This window comes from Homo sapiens, chromosome 1 (genome assembly GCF_000001405.40).
Source record: "Homo sapiens chromosome 1, GRCh38.p14 Primary Assembly".
In the NCBI taxonomy this organism is placed as follows: domain Eukaryota; kingdom Metazoa; phylum Chordata; class Mammalia; order Primates; family Hominidae; genus Homo; species Homo sapiens.
Genome location: NC_000001.11, coordinates 41,120,954 through 41,143,662, shown reverse-complemented (window position 1 = coordinate 41,143,662; position 22,709 = coordinate 41,120,954). Strand labels below are relative to the sequence as shown.

General features: G+C 36.8%; 1 protein-coding gene across 42 annotated transcripts in view; it reads left to right on the top strand.

Moving 5' to 3' along the window:
* SCMH1 (Scm polycomb group protein homolog 1) overlaps positions 1 to 22,709 on the top strand; it is a 215,105-nt gene that overhangs the window by 98,644 nt on the left and 93,752 nt on the right. For 41 of the 42 annotated variants that reach the window (NR_135092.2, XR_946584.3, XR_007096354.1 and 38 more), the window contains one exon: positions 551 to 785. Coding sequence is in view for 33 of the 42 variants with exons in the window: in NM_001172222.3 (NP_001165693.1) it covers positions 551 to 785 (235 nt within the window). In the remaining 9 variants the exon portion in view is untranslated. Of the gene's footprint in view, positions 1 to 550; positions 790 to 22,709 lie in introns of all 42 variants that reach the window. The other variant, NM_001350667.2, reaches the window with a different exon arrangement.

Here is a 22,709-nt window from a genome sequence, read left to right as displayed (position 1 = left end):
GTTTATATGGTGTATATAGTAATATGAGTATATACATATGTCAAGACTTACTAAAGTGTATAGTTTATTGTATGTCTATTGTATGACTTGATTAGTAAGTTGTCAAAATAAGAAAAAATTAACCCTCAATAGTCTGTGTGGTAGATATACACACCAATATACTGAAATATTCCACAAAGAGACACTAAGAATATGGTAGTTTAATAGGACGTAGTAGTCCTAAAAAGACTAAAAAGGGATTAAAAGTCCCTACCTGGAAGGGTAGGGAGTTAGAGAATTATAGAATGAGAAAACATTTAATTAACTGGCCTATATAAGACATTCTTGTCCTTTTTTTAACTGGTATGGGTCTATTTGATGCTTCGTTGGAAAGTAATTTTTTCCCCTTCATCTTATCTTTCATTGTTTCTTTTGCATGAAACCATTCTTAATTATTAGGGAATAATTCAGTTGGTTGTCCCTGGCCCAGCTATAACCAATCTGAATCCAAAACATGAATTTTGGGGTTTTACTCTTAATCTGTCTATACCTCATGCCTTGTTTTTCCCAGTCCTACACACCTCCAAGCAACGAGTTCAAGATCAGTATGAAATTGGAAGCACAGGACCCCAGGAACACCACATCCACCTGTATTGCCACAGTAGTTGGACTGACAGGTGCCCGCCTTCGCCTGCGCCTTGATGGGAGCGACAACAAAAATGACTTCTGGCGGCTGGTTGACTCAGCTGAAATCCAGCCTATTGGGAACTGTGAAAAGAATGGGGGTATGCTACAGCCACCTCTTGGTGAGTAAGTAAACCCAAACTCTTTCTAGCCAATTATTAATAGTTAGCGTCCAAAAACTGAACATCCTATTATGGGAAAGCCTAGGGTACCCAGCTTATCCCTTATTTTTCATATAGTCTCCTAAAAAGGCCCACCCAAAATGAAACAAGCTGCACAATTTGGACATCTCCATCTCTACATTAGCTTATGATATCCAGGCTTCTTCCAAATTCTTTCTAACAAGAAATCACACCCTTTGTTCTTCTTGGCCAGTGCCCATTTACCTGAGAGAGAGAATGGAAGGAGGTCTTGCCGTTTAACCTATCTCAAAAAGCATAAAGCTTTCACCAAATCCTATCATAATGACAAGAAATGAGAGAAAATCTGCCAGTAGAAAGCATGGCTGTTATAAGGATCTCTTATCTCCTTTCTCACTAATTCTCACCTGGTCCTTGGAGTTTTCTCGCTTCGAATCCATTATTACATAAAAATCATTTTTTAAAATTTAAGCTAATAACCTCACTAGGTTTTTCTTTCCAGATCAGATTCCCCTCCAGCTTTTGCCTCAATAAATCTGAGGGATTCAGCCCTTCTTATCAGTTACTGTCAATCACTATTACAGTGAGTCTCAATGGGGGACCGAGAGAGTTAGATTATGGACTTTGACTATACTTCCTCTCAGGAAGCTGTGCTAAATTGAGAATTAGAGAGCATGTATCATGGGCTCCCTAGGTACTTATTTAACGTTTTCCCCCATTAAAAAAAAATTTGTAATGTAAAATTTCAAACATATAAAAAGGTAGAGAAAAATAGCATAGTGAATGCTCATGTAACCTTCATTGTTGAAGTCAATATAATTTTATCTATACTTGTATACACTTTCTGTCCCCACCTCCAATTGTTAAACATAGCATGATTTTATCATGAAAGTATTTAGTATGTCTCTGTCATGGGCAAGGATGTCTTAAACATAACCATACAATTATCACATACAAATAAGCCAATGATAATGTCTTAATATCAACAAATATTTTAATGTGTTTAAATTTTCTGGATTGTCTGTCTCTGTCTGTCTCTCTCTTTTTTAATCAGTTTTTTGAATCAATCTAACTAGAATCCTCACATTGCAGTTAGTTGATATGTCCTTTAAGCTTCTTTAAATCTACAAGTTCTTATCTGCTCTAATTTTTCTTGCAGTTTATTTGTTTAAAAACCTAAGTCATTTGTCTTTTAAATTTTCTAAAATTATATTTTGTTGATTGTATTCTTGTGGTATCATTCAACATGTTTCTGTGTCCTCTAGTTCCTAAAATTGGTAGCTAAATGTAGAGACTTGATCAGATTCTGGTTCAATTTTTTCATAAGAATATTTCATAGCTGGTGATATTTATTTCTATCAAGAAGCATGTATAGTCTGGTTGTCTCTTGTTTTATAATGTAATATAATGTAGCAGCCATTGCTGCTCATAGTCTAGATCAGGGTTGACATTTTTCTTGACAGATCTGATAGTGAATATTTTAGGCTTTACAGATCATACATTCTCTGTTATAATTACTTAGCTTTGTCTTTCTGCTAAGGCAGCTGTTGACAATACATAAACAAACAGGGTTGTGTTCTAATAAAACTTGATTTACAAAAACAGGTTGTCAGCCTGCCAACTGTAGTTTGCTGCCCCTGATTTAAATCTATAATTCATATGGTTACAAAATGGAAAAATCTAATCCTGCCATTCTGTCTACATAAATTAATGGAATACATCTGTTAACATAAACTTTCATCAACTATTTAGTTATTTTGAGATATAGTTCACACAGGAAAAACAGTTTAAATGCATGCTTTATTTCTTTATTTACCAATTTTCAATGAATTGGTTTATTAGCATCCTCCAAAAATATTTAAGGAGGATTTTGTTGTTGTTGCTTAGTATCATAAGCTCAAAACTTCATACATATTTGTTGTGTTTCACTCCATCACACCAATTGACCTTATTGATGCTTGAATTATCCCATCTTTTGCCAGAAGGAAACTTGTCAAGTTGTCTCCTGACTCTTTTATATACTGTTTGATACTATTTGATAGCTCTCTTGGATTTTTGCAATTTCAACATGTTCCAGGTTCATCTTATATATTTTTTGCCCCAAATATGGAATCAGCTAGTTCTTCTAGGTTCCTGGGCTCCTTTTATTGGGAAATGGTATTTAGAGACCATAATCAGAACACTAGAGTGCTCAGTGCTACTAGGTTGGTCACCCTTTCTAGTCTTTTTGGTATAGAGAGGCAGGAACTACCTTTTTAAAAAGATTATTGGCTGGGTGCAGTGGCTCACACCTGTAATCCCAGCACTTTGGGAGGCCGAGGCGGGCAGATCGCAAGGTCAGGAGATCGAGATCATTCTGGCCAACATGGTGAAACCTCGTCTCTACTGAAAATACAAAAATTAGCTGGGTGTTGTGGCATGTGCCTGTAGTCCCAGCTACGTGGGAGGCTGAGGCAGGAGAATCAGTTGAACCCGGGAGGCGAAGGTTGCAGTGAGCCGGGATTGCACCACTGCACTCCAGCCTGGGCAACAGACTGAGACTGCGTCTAAAAAAAAAAAAAAAAGTTATTGGGGTAAAATATCATTGGTTCAAATTGATACTTCTCACTAAGGGACAGAGGTATTTTTACCTGCTTCATCTCTGCTACCTTAAATTTGAATCTCCTTTGTACCACAACAAAACCCTAGTTCTCCATGTTAACACAGTAACTCATTTGCTTTATTCCGTATCACTCATCTAACAGTCTCAGAATAACAATACCAACACTACCACCAGTTTGATTATTAACAGTGTTTATTTGCATTTTTTCCTTACCCTTAAGAAAAATACCCTTAATAAGTGTTATAAGGTCATTTAGATTAGTTTCTGTCTAAGTGACTGTACCACCAACTTAATAACTAAGGTTCATTTGCTTCATTTTATGTTTTATTTTGTGGAATTGCTTTTTAAAATTTAATTTTGCTTTATAAATACATTATTATATATAATTCTGAAATATATATAATTCTGAAAAGTCAAGTCTATAAAACAGAGTATATTCAGAGAAATCTCTTTCACCTTGGTCTTTCCTTCTGCCATAGGTAACCACTTCTTTTTAATCCTATAGTTTATCATTCAATTTTATAAAAAATTTAGGCATGTGTGTGTGTCTATGTGTGTATGTGTGTATCTATCCCCTGCCTTTTTTCATTTAGTGATATGTCCTAAATATGACATTGCAGTAACATGGAGATGCTCTTCATTCTTACACTGTAGTGTGTTATTCTTGCACTACTTTATGAATCACTATTTAGAAGCATTTGAGAGGCTATTAAAAAATACAAGTTCTCAGGGAACATAGTGACCATGTAAATCAAATATTTCCAAAAATTCTCCAGAAACCTACAGATCAAAAAGGAAACAATCCACCCATAACTTATGCCTAAATATAACTAGGAGCCGAGAATGCCACAATTATCAGTTACTTTTTAATGGGGATATAAAGATCTGAAACCAGCAGAGCCAGTACCAGACCATACATAACGAAGAATTTATGTAGGTGGAAATTGTATAAAAAAGGGAGAGAACAATGGGGGCCTAACAGAGCCAAAATTGCCCCCAGAATGAGATAGTCCCACCCAGAATGGGAAATACTGAGAACAGAGCTAAGATCTTGTGGATTAGAGCACAAACTATTGGAATTGGAAAGGAGAGTCAAAGTTGAAAGTGGACTGGAGATGGCAGTCCTGGGGAGAAAACTTCCTCTGTGGAAGAGGGAGACTTAACGTTGAAGGGAAAAAAAGACAGCAGGGGGTAAAATTTAGGATTATACAGAATAAAAGGCATACCATTCTTCTCATCCTACCTTAAACAGGCCCATCTATTAAAGAAATTGTATTTCACTATGCCAACTCATGACCCAAGTTCCCTGCCAATAGAACCTTTTGTTTTTTTGCTGGTCTGGGAAAATTTAAGATATATAAAAATGGTGAGAAAATAGCACTTGAAAATTTATAAAAAGCTTCAATATGAAGAAAAACATAAGATGAGGATAAAACCATTTCAACTACTGAAAATGCTTCCAAAACCAACGACTAATCAGAGGAAACCTGTTGCACAGCAACTCAACTTGAGTTAAACAAGTCTTGGCAGATATGAAAAAAATACCTTGAATCATAGGTTGTAAAAGTCAAGCTAGACATGCACAATAGACAAGAAGATGTGAAAATAGTATTGTCCAAACTCAAGAAAAAAAAGACAAAATTATCTCAGTGGAAGACTGAATTCCAAGGTGAACAACAGGACAATAGACTCAACTGAAAATGTAATAAGGGACATTAAGGAGGGAAATAAAAAGCCAAGAGAATAAAAATAAATATTAGAAAAGGTTAAAAAGTATCTCAAAGGAACTGTTAGATATAGAAGATAATGAACAAAAATCCAATATGTATATGTACACGATATGTATATGTATGTATAACTGAAAACCCAAAAGAAGATAAACAAAACAATGGAACAGAATTAACACTTAAATAAGAAAACTTTCCAAAAATTAAAGCAGACCTTTACCTTTATATTTATAGGACCTACTTTTGATTCAGATTGGTCAACTCTAAGACATATTTTAGTAAAACTATTGTATTCTAAGAAAATTTCTTCTAAACTTCTGGCAAAAAAAAAGCCAAGTCTTTTACAAGGTAAAGAAAGTCAAGTTTGCAGCTGTTTTTCAGGTATTGAGGTTATACTGAAATCGTTTTCAGCATGCAGAACTCAGGGAATATTATAACCCCAAGCCCATTCTGAGGAATAAATTAGAGAAAGCTCTTCATCAAAGCAAGAGATGATCAATTTAAGACAAAAACAAAGCAAGGGACAAGGGTAGAATAGTGTATGTGTGTATCAGGCTCAGTCCAGTGAAGAGAGAAACAACACAGTAATTTGAACATAGAAAGTTTAATATAATTGTTAACTATAACAGAGGATTGGAGTAATGAGGGATCAGTTAGTAAAGGAAAGATAACTCTAAAGAAATTATATGAGTAGCAAACATAAAGAAAAGCCAGACTCTGAGGCTGAGATAAAGTGCCCAAGGAAGAGCCTCTCCTCCCCCATCCTGAGGGCTGAGGTATAGGGCTGTGTTCTCTCAATGACAGAGAAATCACTGTGGTGCTATGTTGGTGGAACTTGCTAGGAACTCCCCTCTATGGTGCTCAGGAAAGCTGTTCGTTGAGAGATATCTCTCTACAGTAACTCTACTATGAAACCACCCAAGGTGAGGGTAAGGATGCTGCTGCTTAGAAAGAGATGCAGACAAATGTACTAATGAAGGCTCAACACAGCTCTTTCAAGGCAAGACAGGTCAAGAGGACAAAAAGTAAAAGTATGAAAGGCTTTAAGAAATCAGGTAGATCGTAGGTGTATGTGTGTGTGTGTGTGCATATGTATGCATGTCAAACTTTAGATCCTTATAAATGATCTGCCTTGAAATTTAAAAATCTAAATAGCTCTTAGTTGAACAGGGGAGATATAAACAAAGTTTGCAAAATTCCTAAAACACGATGATAATAAACATCATACATCAGAATTTTGAGATATAATTAAAGCAGTACTTAGAAGAAAATGTATAGCCTTAAATATTTAACATCAGTAAAAATGAAAGGATGAAAATTGGGATTTAAATTCCCAACTCAAAGAGCTAGAAAAAGAATTACAAAGCAAGAAGAAAAAAAAGATAAAGGAAATTAATGAGGCAGAAAACAGAAAAGCAATAATTCAAAGTTAATTCAAAGTACTGGTCCTGGCCGGGCATGGTAATTCATGCCTGTAATCTCAGAACTTTGCGTGGCCAAGGCAAGAGGATCACTTTGAGGCTAGGAGTTCAAGACCAGCCTGGGTAACATAGCAAGACCCTGTCTCAACAAAAATGTTTTTAAAAATTAGCCCAGCATGGTGGCATATGCCTGTTGTCCTGGCTTTTAGGAGGCTGAAGCAGAAGGATTGCTTGCACCCAGGAGTTTGAGGTTACAGTGAGTTATGGTCATACCACTGCACTGCAACCTAGGCCACAGGGTGAGATACTGTCTCAAAAAAAAAAAAAAAAAAAAAAGTACTGTCCTTTGGGAGAAAAAATGTCCATGAAATAGACAAACCACTAGTTAGCATAGTAAAGAAAAAAGGAGAGTAGGCACAAACATAGAAAATAAGAAATGGCCGGGCACAATGGCTCACACCTGTAATCCCAGCACTTTCGGAGGCCGAGGTGGGCAGATCACAAGGTCAAGAGATTGAGACCATCCTGGCCAACATGGTAAAACCCCGTCTCTACTAAAAATACAAAAATTAGCTGGGCACGGTGGTGCATGCCTGTAGTCCCAGCTACTCAGGAGGCTGAGGAGAATCACTTGAACCTGGGAGGTGGCGGTTGCAGTGAGCCAAGATTGCGCCAGTGCACTCCAGCCTGGCAACAGAGTGAGACTCCGTCTCAAAAAAAAAAAAAAGAAAGAAAGAAAAGAAGAAATGACAAAGGGGAAATAACTATGCAGATAAATTTGAAAAGTTAGGTTGAAGTAGGAAATACTATTTGTCAAAATTAACTTCAATAGCATTACAATATTTAAACAGATATAGAAAACATGGCCAGGCATGGTGGCTCACACCTGTGATCCCAGCACTTTTGGAGTCCAAGGCAGACAGATTGCTTGAGCTCAGAAGTTTGAGACCAGCCTGGGCAGCATGGCAAAACTCTATCTCTGCAAAAAAAATAACAAAATTAACCAGGCGTGGTGGCTCACGCCCATAGTCCCAGCTACTTGGGAGGCTGAGGTGGAAGGATCACTTGAGCCTGGGATGTGGAGATTGCAGTGAGTTGAGATTGTACCACTACACTCCAGCCTGAGTGAAAGAGTGAGATCCTGTCTCAAAAAAAAAAAAAAAGAAAATATACAAAAGTTTTCAAGGAACTGCACCTACAGTAAGCACCATGTGTAGATTATGTCACAGGGAAATTACCAAACCTTAAGGAGCAGATAGTCTTAGTGCTAGTTGAGTTGTAGTTCAACAATACCCAGCAGAACTTTCTGCAATGGTGGAAATATTTTGTATCTGTTCTATTCAGCATGATCCTCACCAGCCACATACAGCAAGTGAGTAAGCACTTGAACTGGCTACTGTGACTAAGGAATTGAATTTTAAATTGTATTTAATTGTAACTTAAAAGGCCTTGTATTAGTCCGTTCTCCTGCTGCTATAAGGACATAACAGAGACTGGGTAATTATAAAGGGAAGAGGTTTAATTGACTCACAGTTCAGCATGGCTAGGGAGGCCTCAGGAAACTTACATTCATGGTGGAAGGGGAAGCAAACACATCCTTCTTCACAGGGCAGCAGGAAAGAGAAGAATGAGAGCTGAGCAAAGGGGGAAGCCCCTTATAAAACCATCAGATCTTGTGAGAACTTACTCATTATCATGAGAATAGCATAGGGGAAACTGCCCCCATGATTCACTTACCTCCCACTGGGTCCCTATCATCATATGTGGGGATTATGGGAACTACAATTCAAGATGAGGATTTGGGTGGGGACACAGCTAAAGCATGTAAGGCCTGATGTGGCTAGTGGCTATTGTACTGAATAGTGTCATTCTAGATCACAGAAAAAGTAGGAAAGCATCTGAATTGTTTTTATGAGACACATAGAACTGTGTTGCCTAAACCTGATTTATACACATGTGCCCACACACACATGCAGATGTATAATCTCATGTATGAATACTGTTATTAAAATCCTAAATAAAAGGAATTAGGATTTAACATATTTAAAACAACAATTCATCAAGACATAATAGTAGGTTGGATTTTGGGGAGAATGAAAATATTTAACTTTAGAAAAATCATTAATAGAATTCAACATATTAAAAAAGCTAAGGAATAAAATCATATGAGCTTTGACAAAATTCAACACACTACTAGCAAAAAAAAATAATAAACCAGAAAATGGGTACTATATACTTAACTTGGAAAAAAGTATGTTTATACCTCAGTACTAAAGCCAACATTTTACTTAATGGTTTAAAATAACCTGATAGAAGATACATGGAAGACAAACTCCCATTTTCAATAGCAGGTAAGGGGTGAGGGAAAACTAACAAATGTGTGAAACTTACATAAAGAAAACTTTGAAAAACCTGACCAAAAAGCATGATTAAAAAATAAGTCATAGAGTAGACTTTGTCAAAATTAAGAACTTCTGCTCTTCAATAGACACTGGTAAGAGAATGAAAATACATATTGACTTTGTATCCTGAGACTTTGCTGAAGTTGCTTATCAGCTTGGGGCTGAGAAGATGGGGTTTTCTGAATATACAATCGTGTCATCTGTGAACAGAGACAATTTGACTTCCTCTTTTCTTAATTGAATACCCTTTATTTCTTTCTCTTGCCTGATTGCCCTAGCCAGAACTTCTAATACTACGTTGAATAGGAGTGGTGAGAGAGGGCATCCTTGTCTTGTGCCAGTTTTGAAAGGGAATGCTTCCAGTTTTTGCCCATTCAGTATGATATTGGCTGTGGGTTTGTCATAAATAGCTCTTATTATTTTGAGATACGTCCCATCAATACCTAATTTATTGAGAGTTTTTAGCATGAAGTGCTGTTGAATTTTGTCAAAGGCCTTTTCTGCATCTATTAAGATAATCATGTGGTGTTTGTCATTGGTTCTGTTTATGTGATGGATTACGTTTATTGATTTGCGTATGTTGAACTAGCCTTGCTTCCCAGGGATGAAGCCGACTTGATTGTTGTGGATACGCTTTTTGATGTGCTGCTGGATTCGGTTTGTCAGTGTTTTATTGAGGATTTTTGCATCAATGTTCATCAGTGATAGTGGTCTAAAATTCTGTTTTTTTGTTGTGTCTCTGCTACGCTTTGGTATAAGGGTGATGCTGGCCTCATAAAATGAGTTAGGGAGGATTCCCTCTTTTTCTTTTGCTTCGAATCCTTTCAGAAGGAATGGTACCAGCTCCTCTTTGTACCTCTGGTAGAATTTGACTATGAATCCATCTGGTCCTGGACTTTTTTTGGTTGGTAGGCTATTAATTATTGCCTCAATTTCAGAACCTTTGGTCTATTTAGAGATTCAGCTTCTTCCTGATTTAGTCTTGGGAGAGTGTATGTGTCCAGGAATTTATCCATTTCTTCTAGATTTTCTAGTTTATTTGCATAGAGGCGTTTATAGTATTCTCTGATGGTAGTTTGTATTTCTGTGGGATCAGTGGTGATATCCACTTTATCATTTTTTATTGCATCCATTTGATTCTTCTCTCTTTTCTTCTTTATTAGTCTTGCTAGCAGTCTATATTTTGTTGATCTTTTCAAAAAAACCAGTTCCTGGATTTATTGATTTTTTTGAAGGGTTTATTGTGTTTCTATCTCCTTCAGTTCTGCACTTACCTTAGTTATTTCTTGTCTTCTGCTAACTTTTGAATTTGTTTGCTCTTGCTTCTCTAGTTCTTTTCATTGTGATGTTAGGGTGTCGATTTTAGATCTTTTCTGCTTTCTCTTGAGTGAACTCCCATTCACCATTGATACAAAAAGAATAAAATACCTAGGAATCCAACTTACAAAGGATGTGAAGGACCTCTTCAAGGAGAACTACAAACCACTGCTCAACGAAATAAAAGGACACAAACAAATGGAAGAACATTCCACGCTCACGGATAGGATGAATCAATATCGTGAAAATGGCCATACTGCCCAAAGTAATTTATAGGTTCAGTGCTATCCCCATCAAGCTACCACTGACTTTCTTCACAGAATGGGAAAAAACTACTTTAAATTTCATATGGAACCAAAAAAGAGCCCACATGACCAAGACAATCCTAAGCAAAAAGGACAAAGCTGGAGGCATCATGCTACCTGACTTCAAACTATACTACAAGGCTACAGTAACCAGAATAGCATGGCACTGGTACCAAAACAGATATATAGACCAATGGAACAGTACAGAGGCCTCAGAAATAATACCACACATCTACAACCATCTGATCTTTGACAAACATGACAAAAACAAGAAATGGGGAAAGGATTCCCTATTTAATAAATGGTGCTGGGAAAACTGGCTGGCCATATGTAGAAACCTGAAACTGGACTCCTTACACCTTATACAAAAATTAACTCAAGATGGATTAAAGACTTAAATGTAAAACCTAAACCTGTAAAAGCCCTAGAAGAAAACCTGGGCAGTACCATTCAGGACATAGGCATGGGCAAAGACTTCATGAGTAAAACACCAAAAGCAATGGCAACAAAAGCCAAAATTGACAAATGGGATCTAATTAAAATAAAGAACTTCTGCACAGCAAAAGAAACCATCAGCAGAGTGAACAGGCAACCTACAGAATAGGAGGAAATTTTTGCAATCTACCCATCTGACAAAGGGCTAATACCCAGAATTTACAAAGAAAAACAAATTTACAAGAAAAACACAAACAATCCCATCAAAAAGTGGGCAACAGATATGAACAGACACTTCTCAAAAGAAGACATTTATGCAGCCAACAGACACATGAAAAAATGCTCATCATCACTGGTCATTAGAGAAATGCAAATCAAAATCACAGTGAGATACCATCTCACGCCAGTTAGAATGGCGATCATTAAAAAGTCTGGAAACAATAGATGCTGGAGAGGATGTGGAGAAATAGGAACACTTTTACACTGTTGGTGGGTATGTAAATTAGTTCACCCATTGTGGAAGACAGTGTCGCGATTCTTCAAGGATCTAGAACTAGAAATACCATTTGACCCAGTGATCCCATTACTGGGTATATACCCAAAGGATTATGAATCATGCTACTATAAAGACACATGCACACATATATTTATTGCAGCACTATTCACAATAGCAAACAATTGGACCAACCCAAATATCCATCAATAATAGACTGGATAAAGAAAATGTGGCACATATACACCATGGAATACTATGCAGCCATAAAAAGGATGAGTTCATGTCCTTTGTAGGGACATGGATGAAGCTGGAAACCATCATTCTCAGCAAACTATCACAAGGACAGAAAACCAAACACTGCACATTCTCATAAGTGCGAGTTGAACAATGAGAACACGTGGACACAGGGAAAAGAACATCACACACCAGGGCCTGCTGGGGGGTGGGAGGCTGGGGGAGAGATAGCATTAGGAGAAATACCTAATGTAAATGACGAGTTGATGGGTGCAGCAAACCAACATGGCACCTGTATACCTATGTGACAAACCTGCACGTTGTGCACATGTACCCCAGAATTTAAAGTATAATACAAAATAATAATAGTTGAAAAATTAGAAAAAAGAAAATACAGGCCACAGACTAGGAGATAATGTTTGCAAATCACTTAACTATCAGTAATATTCTCCAAATTGATCTATAGATGCAGTGCAGTCCCTATCAAAATCCCAACTGCCTATTTTGCAGAAATTGACAAATTGGTTCTAAAATTCTTATAAGGGACCCAGAATAATCATAGCAATATTCAAAAGGGAAAACAAAGGTGGAGGACTCACATTTTCTGATTTCAAAACTTACTACAAAGCTATAGTACTGAAGACATTGTGGTTCTGGCATGAAGACAGACATATAGATCCATGAATTAGAATTAAGAGTACAGAAATGAACCTACCAATTTATGGTCAATTGATTTTTCACAAGGATGCCAAGACAGTTCAATGTGATTTTCAACAGCTGGTGAGGAACAAATGGATATTCACATAGAAAAAAATGAAGTTGGACCCTACCTCTATGCCATATACAAAAATTAATTTCAAGTGGATCATGGACCTAAATGTAAGAGCTAAAATGAGAAAACTCTTCGAAGAAAACAGGAGGAAATCTTCATGACCTTGGATTAGATAATACAGCACCAAAAGCACAAAAAAACAAAAGAAAAAATAGATAACTTGAACTTCATCAAAACTAAAAAGCTTCATCATCAAGAAGTGAAAAGACAGCTCACACAATGGGAAAAAATAGCCAAATCCATGTAAGCAGAAAGTAGATTTGTGGTTTCCAGAGTCCAGCTTGAAGTGGGGATGGGGAGTGGCTGCTAATAGGTATTGGGCCTCTTTTTGGAGGAGTGATGAAAATATTTTAAAATTAGATAAAGTGATGTTTGCACACTTTGTATGTTCACAGAGTACTAAAACCCATTGAACTATATACTTAAAAGAGTAAATTTTATGGTGTGTGAATTGTGAAGCTAATTTTTTATACTTACATATCTAATTCAGTAATGCTAGAAAAATGACATATACACATGCAAAAAAATGAAGTTGGAACTTAACCTTACACTATATACAAAAATTAACTCAAAATGTATCAAAGGCCTGAATGTGGGGTCTAAATCCATAAAACTCTTAGAAGAAAAGCTTTATGACATTAGATTTGAATATGACACCAAAAGCACAGGCAACAAAAGAAAAACATACATAAATTAGACTACATCAAAATTCAAAACTTTTGTGCATCAAAGGACACTATTGACATAGTGAAAAGGCAGCCCACAGAATTAGAAAAAAAATTCACAAAACATATATCTGATAAGGGGTTAATATTCAAAAAATATTTTTAAAAACTCCTGCAACTGTGTTATTCAAGGTTTATGATATTTAAAAAATTAAAAATAAAAACTCCTAAACCTCAACAACAAAAAACCCATTTCAAAAATTAGCAAAGGACTTGAATATATTTTTTTCCAAAGAAGATGTACAAATGGCCAATTAGCACATGAAAATATGTTCATGATCACTAATCATTAGGGAACTACAAATTAAAACTGCATTGAGATGACACTTCACATTCATTAGGATGGGTATTAGGAAAAAAACAGAAAATAACAAGTGTTGATGAGGATGTGGAGAAATGGGAATGTCTGTTGCTGGTAGGAATGTAAAATGGGAGTTTCTCAGAAAGTTAAAAATATCATGCACCTGTAGTCCCAACTACCTGGAAGGCTGAGGCAGGAGGATCGCTTGAACCCAGGAGTTCGAGGCCAGCCTGGGCAACATAGTGAGACCCCCAACTATTTTCTTAAAAAGTAAAAGTAGAATTCTGTGATTCAGCAGTTCCATTTCTGGGTATATACTCAGAAGGACTGAAAGCAGGGACTTGGGCAGATATTTGAATACCCGTGTTTAGCAGCATTAGTCACAATAGCCAAAAGGTAGAAGCCACTCAAGTGTCTGTTGATGGAAGAATGGATAAAGAAAATGTCACACATACGCACACACAGAAAGAGAGCGGGGCTGGGGAAGAGAGAGAGATGCAATGGGAATATTATTCAGCCTTAAAGAGGAAGGAAATTATAACACATGCTACAACATAGGTGAACCTCGACGACATGCTAAGTGAAATAAGCCAGTTATAAAAGCACAAATATTGTATGATTTCACTTAGATGAGACATCTAGAGAAGTCAAATGTATAGAGACAGAAAGTACAATAGTAGTTGCCAGGAGCTGAGGGAGGAGGAGGTGAAGAGGTTGATAATAGGTACAGAGTTTCAGTTGGGGAAAATGAAAATGTCCTGGAGATGGATGGTGGTGATAGTTGCCTAATAATGTGAATGGACTTAATGTCACAGAACTGTACACTTTAAAATGATTAAAACTGTAAATTTGATATATATTTTACCACAAAAAAAATTACCAGGCATGCAAACAAGCAAGAGAAAAACTCACCCATTATAATTAGAATCCAGAAATAACACAGATTATAGAATTAATAGACAAGGACATTAAAGCAGTTGTTTATATTGCATATGTTCAAGAAGATAGAGGAAATCATGAGCGTCATGAGTAGAGAAATGTAGGATTTAGATTTAAAAGAACCAAATTGAACTTTAGAGGTAGAACATACAAGATAATATCTCAAGTGAAGAATAAACTGAATGGATCCACAACATATTACTGTTGGAATTGCTTCAGGAGGAAGATGAGCAGACTTAAAAACAGCAGTATAAACTATCCAAATGAAACACAGAGAGAAAAAGAACTGAAAAAGAAAGCATCAGTGAGCCATGGAACAACTTCACGTAGCCTATAACATATATAACTGGAGTCCTGAAGGAGAGATAAGGAGCACATAAGAAATTATTAGAAAAATAATGCTTGAAAAATTTTTGAATACTATGAAAACTATAACTTCACAAATCAGAGAAGCTCAATGAACCCCAAGCAGGAGAAATATGAAATAAACCACACAAGGCACATCATCATCAAATTGCTGAAAACCCACGATAAAGAGAAAAGTCTTAAGAGCAGCCAGAGAAAAACAAGCACATGATATATAGAAGAACAAAGAATGACAGCAACTTCTCGTCAGAAACAGTGCAAGCCAGAATACAGTGGAGCAGCATTTTTAAGTTCTAAAAGGAAAACAAGTTGTTAAGCTAGAATTCTATACCAAGCAAGAATGTCTTTCAAAAATAAAAATGAAGACATTTGCAGAAATATAAAAGCTTAGAGAATTAATCACAAGCATATCAGTACTACAAGAAAGGTTAAGTGAAGTCCTTAAAGCAGAAAGAAAATGATAACATGGAAAAAATGGATCTCTGCAAAGCAATGAGGAAAATTTGTAGGTAAATATAATAAAATTTGTAGTGTACATATAATAATTCAAAAATAGCTAGGAACTCCTAAAAAAGAAGAGCAATGTGCAGAGAGTAATCCCATTAGCTATTAAAACATACTTTAAAGCCTCTGAAATTAAAATTATATGGAACTGGCACATGAATAGGCAGACTGAGCAGTGTAAAATAAATAGCAAATCCAGAGATAGATCTGACTGTATATGAAAATTTGCTATATGATAAAGGTAGTGTGGTAGTCTGCTGAGGCTGTCAGTGAAATACCACAGACTGTCTGGTTTAAACAACAGGATTTTTTTTTCTCACAGTTCTAAAGACTGGAAAGTCCAAGATCAAGGTTCTGGCAGGGGTTGATTTCTGCTGAGGGTCCTCTTCTTGCTTGCAGACAGCCATCTTATGGCTGCCTTCTCACTGTGTTCTCACAGGAGAAGGAAGAAGGAAGGGAGGGAAGTGGAGGGAGGAAGAGAGCTCTTCCTCTTCTTATAAGACCATAGTTCTATCAAATAAGGGCTCTACCCCGTGACTTCACTTAACCTTCATCATCTCCTAACAACCCTGTCTCTGGGTACAGTTATATTGAGGATTAGGACTTCAACATATTAATTTGGGGGATGGAGATTCAGTCCATAGTGGTTGGCATATTAAATTGGATAAAATTGACTTTTTCATAAATGACATTGGGATAAGTTAATAGCCATTAGGAAAAGATACAATTGAATCCATATATCACAGCGTATGTCAGAATAAACTGCACGTGGATTAGAGATCAAAATGTAAAAAAATGACTATATAAGTACTAGGAAAACACAAATTCCTTTATAAACTTGGGGTGGGGAAAGCCTTTTTAAATATGATTCAAAATCTAGATAGACCGACAAATTTGACTTTTTAAAACATTTTTAGGGGAAAAAAACACTCCAAGCAAAGCTAAAAGACAAATGATAAATGGGAGAAAATATTTGCAACATAAGGCACAGATAACTCTCCCTAATTCATAAAGAACACTCATAAATAGAAAAATAGAAAAATTTTTTAAGACTAAAACCTATAGAAAAATGATCTTAAGGCATGAACAGTTGACAGAAGATATACAAATGGTCCTCAGACATATGAAAATTCACACCACTCATAATAAAATAAGTGCAGATTAAAACCACAGTAAGATATTCTTTCTTACCAGATTGACAAAAATTCCAAAGCTTGAGGAGACAGCAAGGCTGTGGGGAAATAAGCGTTCTCATTTTTTTTTGCTGGGGACATGCAGAATGGTACATTTCACACCAGAGAGGGAGGGCATACAATTCATCAGTATCTGAGAAAAACCACATATGCATTTATTAGTTGACCCAGGGATCCCACTTCAGGAATTTGATTTTAAAGATGTACTGCCACAAAAATAAAGCAATATACACATGGTTATTTTTTTGCAACATTAAGAGATTGATTGAATGTTATATAGTACATTCACACAATGAAGTACCATTCAACCATAAAATAGAATGAGGAAGATCTGTGTAAACTAATATGGAGTGATTTCTAAGATATATCATTAATGTGAAAAAAGAAAGTTGCAGAAAGTATATATAATACGCTAACTTTTGGGAAAGAGAAGGGGAAATATGTATGTATACACATATGCACACATATATAACATATGAAAGTATGCATTTTAAATTTATTTTTGTAAAAAGAAACACAGGAATGTCAAGCCAGAAAATAATGAAAAGATCACCCATTAGGCATGTCTTGGAATAAGGTAGAAAGTACTGGGATAAGAGTGAGGCTTTTGAAAATACCTTTTAATATTCTTTTGACTTTTGAACTAAGTATTTTACTTAATAAATAAAATTAAACTAAAAAAGATGAACAAAGCAAACCCTAAAATTGATTAGAAACAAACAAAACTGAATCAAATGGATGTAATAACCACATTGAAAAAACTATTAATTCAAATAAAATTTTAACATAGAACCTTCACAGTATACCTTTAATATGGGGCATATTCTAAGGAAAAAATGGACTGCAAAGAAATTTTGACTTCTTAATAATGTTTGTGGTTTTGGCATGGTTATCTGAGACTAATTTGCAGATATTGAAAATAGAGCAAATGAATAAATAAGATTCTAATATGGAAAAAGATGAGGAAGAACCCTGTAGTATTGGATTTGAATTGGAGAATATCTGTATCTACTCTGGCCTTTAAAATATATTTATATGTATGCATCCTATTCAAGTAATACATATATGTAACATATGATTTGTATGTGTGTGTGTATATACATATGTATTTTCCAAGCACTGTTCATTGAAAGGGCCTAGAAGCAATTACATCTCAGTAGCAATGACGACACCTTGATTTTGGTTTCTAAAAATCACCTGATACACCTGTAATCCCAACACTTTGGGAAGCTGAGGCAGGAGGATCCCTTAAGCCTAGGAGTTCGAGACCAGCCTGGGCAACATGGCAAGACCCCCATCTCTACTGGAAAACATTAAAAATGAGCTGGACATGGTGTCACGCATCTGTGGTCCCAGCTACTTGGGAGACTGAGGTGGGAGTATCCCCTTGAGTCTGGGAGGTCGAGGCTGCAGTGAGCCATGATCATGCTATTGCACTCCAGCCTGGGTGACAGAGTAAAACCTCTTCTCAAAAAAAAAAAATTAAAGTTGGAGGGAAGAAATCTCCTTTACAGAATGCCAGCCAATAAATATAGAAGGAATGAGGCTGGGCAAAGTGGCTCACACCTGTAATCCCAGCACTTTGGGAGGCCGAGATGAGTGGATCACATGAGCCCAGGAGTTTGAGACCAGCCTGGGCAACATGGTGAAACTCTGTCCCTACAAAAAAATACAAAAATTATCTGGGCATGATGACACACACCTGTAGTGCCGGCTACTCAGGAGGCTGAAAAGGAAGAATCAGCTGAGCCCGGGAAGTCTAGGCTGCAGTGAGCGGAGATCTCGCCACTGAATTTCAGCCTGGGGGACAAAGCAAAACCCTGTCTAAAAAAAATATATAGAAGGAATGAGAGAAAATTACTTTTTTGCAACTATTTTAATAATTGAGTCAGGCAAGAGTAACCAATAAATGCTTAAACTATTAGGTAAAAAAACATACTGAGGAATAGGATGTTCACAGTCTCAAAGTTTCTCTCCACTGATTGCCTGTAAATTACAAAGGGAAATTACAGTGAAGAACACTGTCAATCACCTCTTAACATGTGATCAAATTTTGTATCTTCAGTAATTAGACAAACTGACATTATGTGCCTCCTGCAGTATTGCAATGAGAAATACTCCACATCACCTGTATAATATTTTTTATCAAATCTCTTTAGCAGGCCAGGCCTAGCAGTTTATGCCTGTAATCAGAGCCAGCACTTTGGGAGGCTGAGGCGGAATGATTACTTGAGGCCAGAAATTCAAGACCAGCCTGGGCAATATAGCAAGTCCCCCATCACTACAAAAAATAGAAAAATTGGCCAGGTGTGGTGGTGCACACCCTTAGTCCTAGTTGCTCAGGGGGATCACCTGAGCCCAGGAGTTGAAGGCTGCTGTGAGCCATGATTGCACCACTGCACACCAGCCTGGGCAACAGAGAAAGACCCTGTCTCAAAATAAATAAATAAATAAATAAATAAATAAATAAGCTCTTCAGCATGAATGTAATTATGAGGAAACGATCAGAAGAAGTCCAAACTGTGGGACATTCTGTAAAACAATCCAGACTCTTCAAAAATGTCAGTGTCATACAAAGCAAACAAAAGGCAACAGGACTATTATACATGAATTCTACATTAAAGGAGACTGAAGAAACATGACAACCAATTGCAGTATGTGATTCTTGATTGGATCCTGTATTTAAAAATCAACAGTTTTAAAGAACATTTTAGGGACAAATGAGAATATTTTTAATTAAATTTCCTGAGTGTGATAATACTGCAATTTTGTAGGGGAATGTCTTTTTTCAAATATACTGATATATTTAGGGGTGAAGTGTCGTAACATCTCCAACTTTCATATAGTTCAGGGGTGGAAGCATTAATATATGTAGATGAAAAGCAGATGTGGGAAAATGGTAATAGTTGTTGAATCTAGTTGAAGGGTACATAATTGTTCATTATATAGTTTTTGCTATTTTCTCTAGGTTTATAACTTTTCAAAATAAAATTAAAAAAATAAAATTATTTATATATAATTGTACATATGTTTGTGTGTCCATGTTCCCCAGGCCTTCTCTGGACTTCTTTCTAGAGTTGCTGAATCAGAAGCTCTAGGTAATGGGGCTTGGGATTCTGCATGGCAAAATGGCTCTCCTGAGATACTGACACAACTGGTCTATATTTGGAAAACATTGCTCTGGAAGAGCATCCTTTTCCATTAAAATCTTGCATGGTGTATATGTATACGTATGTGTGTTCTGTTCTCATAAGGGATATTACTCTTTTGCAGTGGAGTCCTCCAAGGATAAAACATGTAGTAGAGTAGAATGATTCTCCTCAGTTATCTCAAAGCTGCCACTCTTCTCCTCACAGCTCCCTGTTATTACTGACTGATTCTTCTACTTAATACTGTGATTGTTTCTTCTAAAGAGGGCTGTCTAGAGCATAGTTCTCAAACTTGGCTACCTGTTAAAATCACCTAGGGAGCTCTTAAAATTTTCAGGGTCTAGGCCTTAACTTCAGATCAGTTAAATAGGGATTTCTGGGAGTGGATCTGATGTATTCTTTAATGTTCCCTAGGGGATTCCAGTCCAAGTTTGAGAGTCACTGAGCTGGAGTAGAAGCTAGCCTTTAATGAGGCCCCTAGTCAAGTGAGTCACGATCTCAGTGTAAACTGCTTACCCAGCAAATTTGGTCACATGCTTTAGTATATACAGTAACTTCAAAGGAATCCTTTGTATGTTTCTGTCACTGATCAATTCCTGGTGTGAATGCTCTTCTGTTACCTGCCACCAGAGGGCATGGACTATGATTAGATTATAGTCCTGCTGCTCCACATGTATGTATGTATGTATTGAGGCAGAGTCTCGCTGTGTCACTCAGGCTGGAATGCAGCGTCACAATCATAGCTCACTGCAGCCTCGACATCCCCAGGCTACAGCAGTCATCCTGCATGAGCCTTCCACGTAGCTGGGACTACAAGCACACACCACCACACCCAGCTAATTTTTTGTATTTTTTGTAGAAACAGGGTCTCACTGTGTTGCCCAGGCTGGTCTTTAAATTTTGGGCTGAAGTGATCCTCCTGCGTCAGTCTCCCAAAATGCTGCGATTACAGGTGAAAGCCACTGTGCCCGGCCTGCAGCTCCACTCTTAAATCCAGTTTCATCAGCTGGCCAGTTTAAAGAGATGGACCCTAGCTTATCCAGTGGTCCCATAGTCTTGGGAGCACCTAGAAGCACTTTAGAAGTGGTTCTTTATGAAGTTTTAAAAAATGAATCCTTGGTAAACACAGAGCACTTGCAGCCTGTGTTTGGAATTAAAAGAGATCTGACTTTGTAATATTAACTTAGCCACTCACTACCTTAGTTGTGTGACTACTGGTAAGTTGCTTTACCTTGACTTGTAACGTTGAGTTTCAGTGCCCTTACCTGCAAGATGATTAATAAATTCTTCCCCATGTTGTTTTTGTGGATTAAGTGGAATAACATAATAAAGCGTTCATCAATTCTTGGCACCCATTTAATAAATGGAGGGTTTTTTCCTTAATTCAATAAAACTATCAAGGATTTTGTATTCTAGTTGGAGAAGACATACACATTAAACTTTTTAAAAAGAAAATTCAGATGGTGATAGGGGCTAGGAATAAATAAGAAGGAAGCAGGATAGATTTAGGAGTCTATTTTGGGTAAAGTAGTCAAGGAACACCTTTCTGAGGAAGTGATGTCTCAGCAAATAACTAACTGTAAAGAGTTGATTAAAAGGTGTTTGAGGCAGAGGGAAACAGCTTGGTATATTTGAGAACAGAAAGACCAATGAATAGGGGTACAAGGGAGTGATAAGAGATGAGTAATGAGGAGTAAGCAAGGTCCAGATCATGTAAGCCTTGTAAACATGAATAATAAAGAGTTTAGATCTGTTTTGTGTTGTGAAATTTGAGCATAAGGTAATGTGACCTGATTTATATTTTTAAAAACATAACCATATTATTCTGGCTGCAAAAGTAGAGGGCTGAGGTCCAGTTAGAAGGCTGTTGGAGTTGTCTAGGCAAAGTTTGACTCTGGCTTAAATTAGGGTAATATAGCAGTAGAGATGGTGAAATGTGGGTCGATCTAGCATATATTAAGTGGGAAAGCCATCAAGACTTGCTGATTAATTGGGTTTGGTGGGTGATAGAAAGGGAAGAATCAAGGATGACTTCTAGTCTTTTAGGTCTGAGCACCTGGGTTTAATAAGGGGTGCCACCTATTAAACTGAGATGGGATAACTGGAGGAAAGAACAAGTTTGGAGGGAATAGTAGAATCAAGAGTACTGTCTTAAACTTATTCATTTTACGTTTTCTTAGACATCCAAGTAGAGTTATAGACTGAGGTAGTTGGATATATGAACATGAAACCCTGAGCAGAGGTTTTGGCTAGATATATAAATTGACAGTCATCATTTAACAGGAAGAAAGTGGGGACCAAGAAGAAGACAGAAGCAATGACTGAGCACTGAGGTGCTCTACATTTAGAGATTAGGATTTCCTCTTACCCACCTGTCCTTTTCCTTATAGACAGCCTAGGTCGTTGCCTAATTTGAATAGAGCCTCAAATTACTGTTTTCATCTTCCTTCTTTTCTCTCTTTCACAAGTTTATGACTCCAACCCTTCTTACCTAGAGACAGTGTGGTAGGACTGAGTGATAAAATATTTGACGATATTAATGTGATGATTAGTTATGAAAGCTCTGGAGACGGAGTAGTTGGGTTCAAATCCTGGCTCTGCTATTTACTAACTTACTAACTTTGGATATTTTACTTAATTTCTCTAAGCCTCAGTTTTTTCATCTATAGTTACAAAAATAATAGCCAATGTTTATCTAACTCCTGCCTGTATGCCAGGCAGTGTTTTAAGTCCTTTGCATGTATTAGCCTATTTAATCTTTAGAACAACCCATTGATTCTTATCCCATGCTGTTGTTGAGGAAACTGAAGCTAGAGAGAGGTTTTGTAATTTTCCAAAAGTTATGTACCTGGTAAGTGGCAAAGCTGGATTTAAATTCAGGCAGTCTGGCACCAGAAACTGCTACTCCTCTAGTATCTGATTCAGAATAGTAGTAGTGATCCACTGCAAATGCTTAGC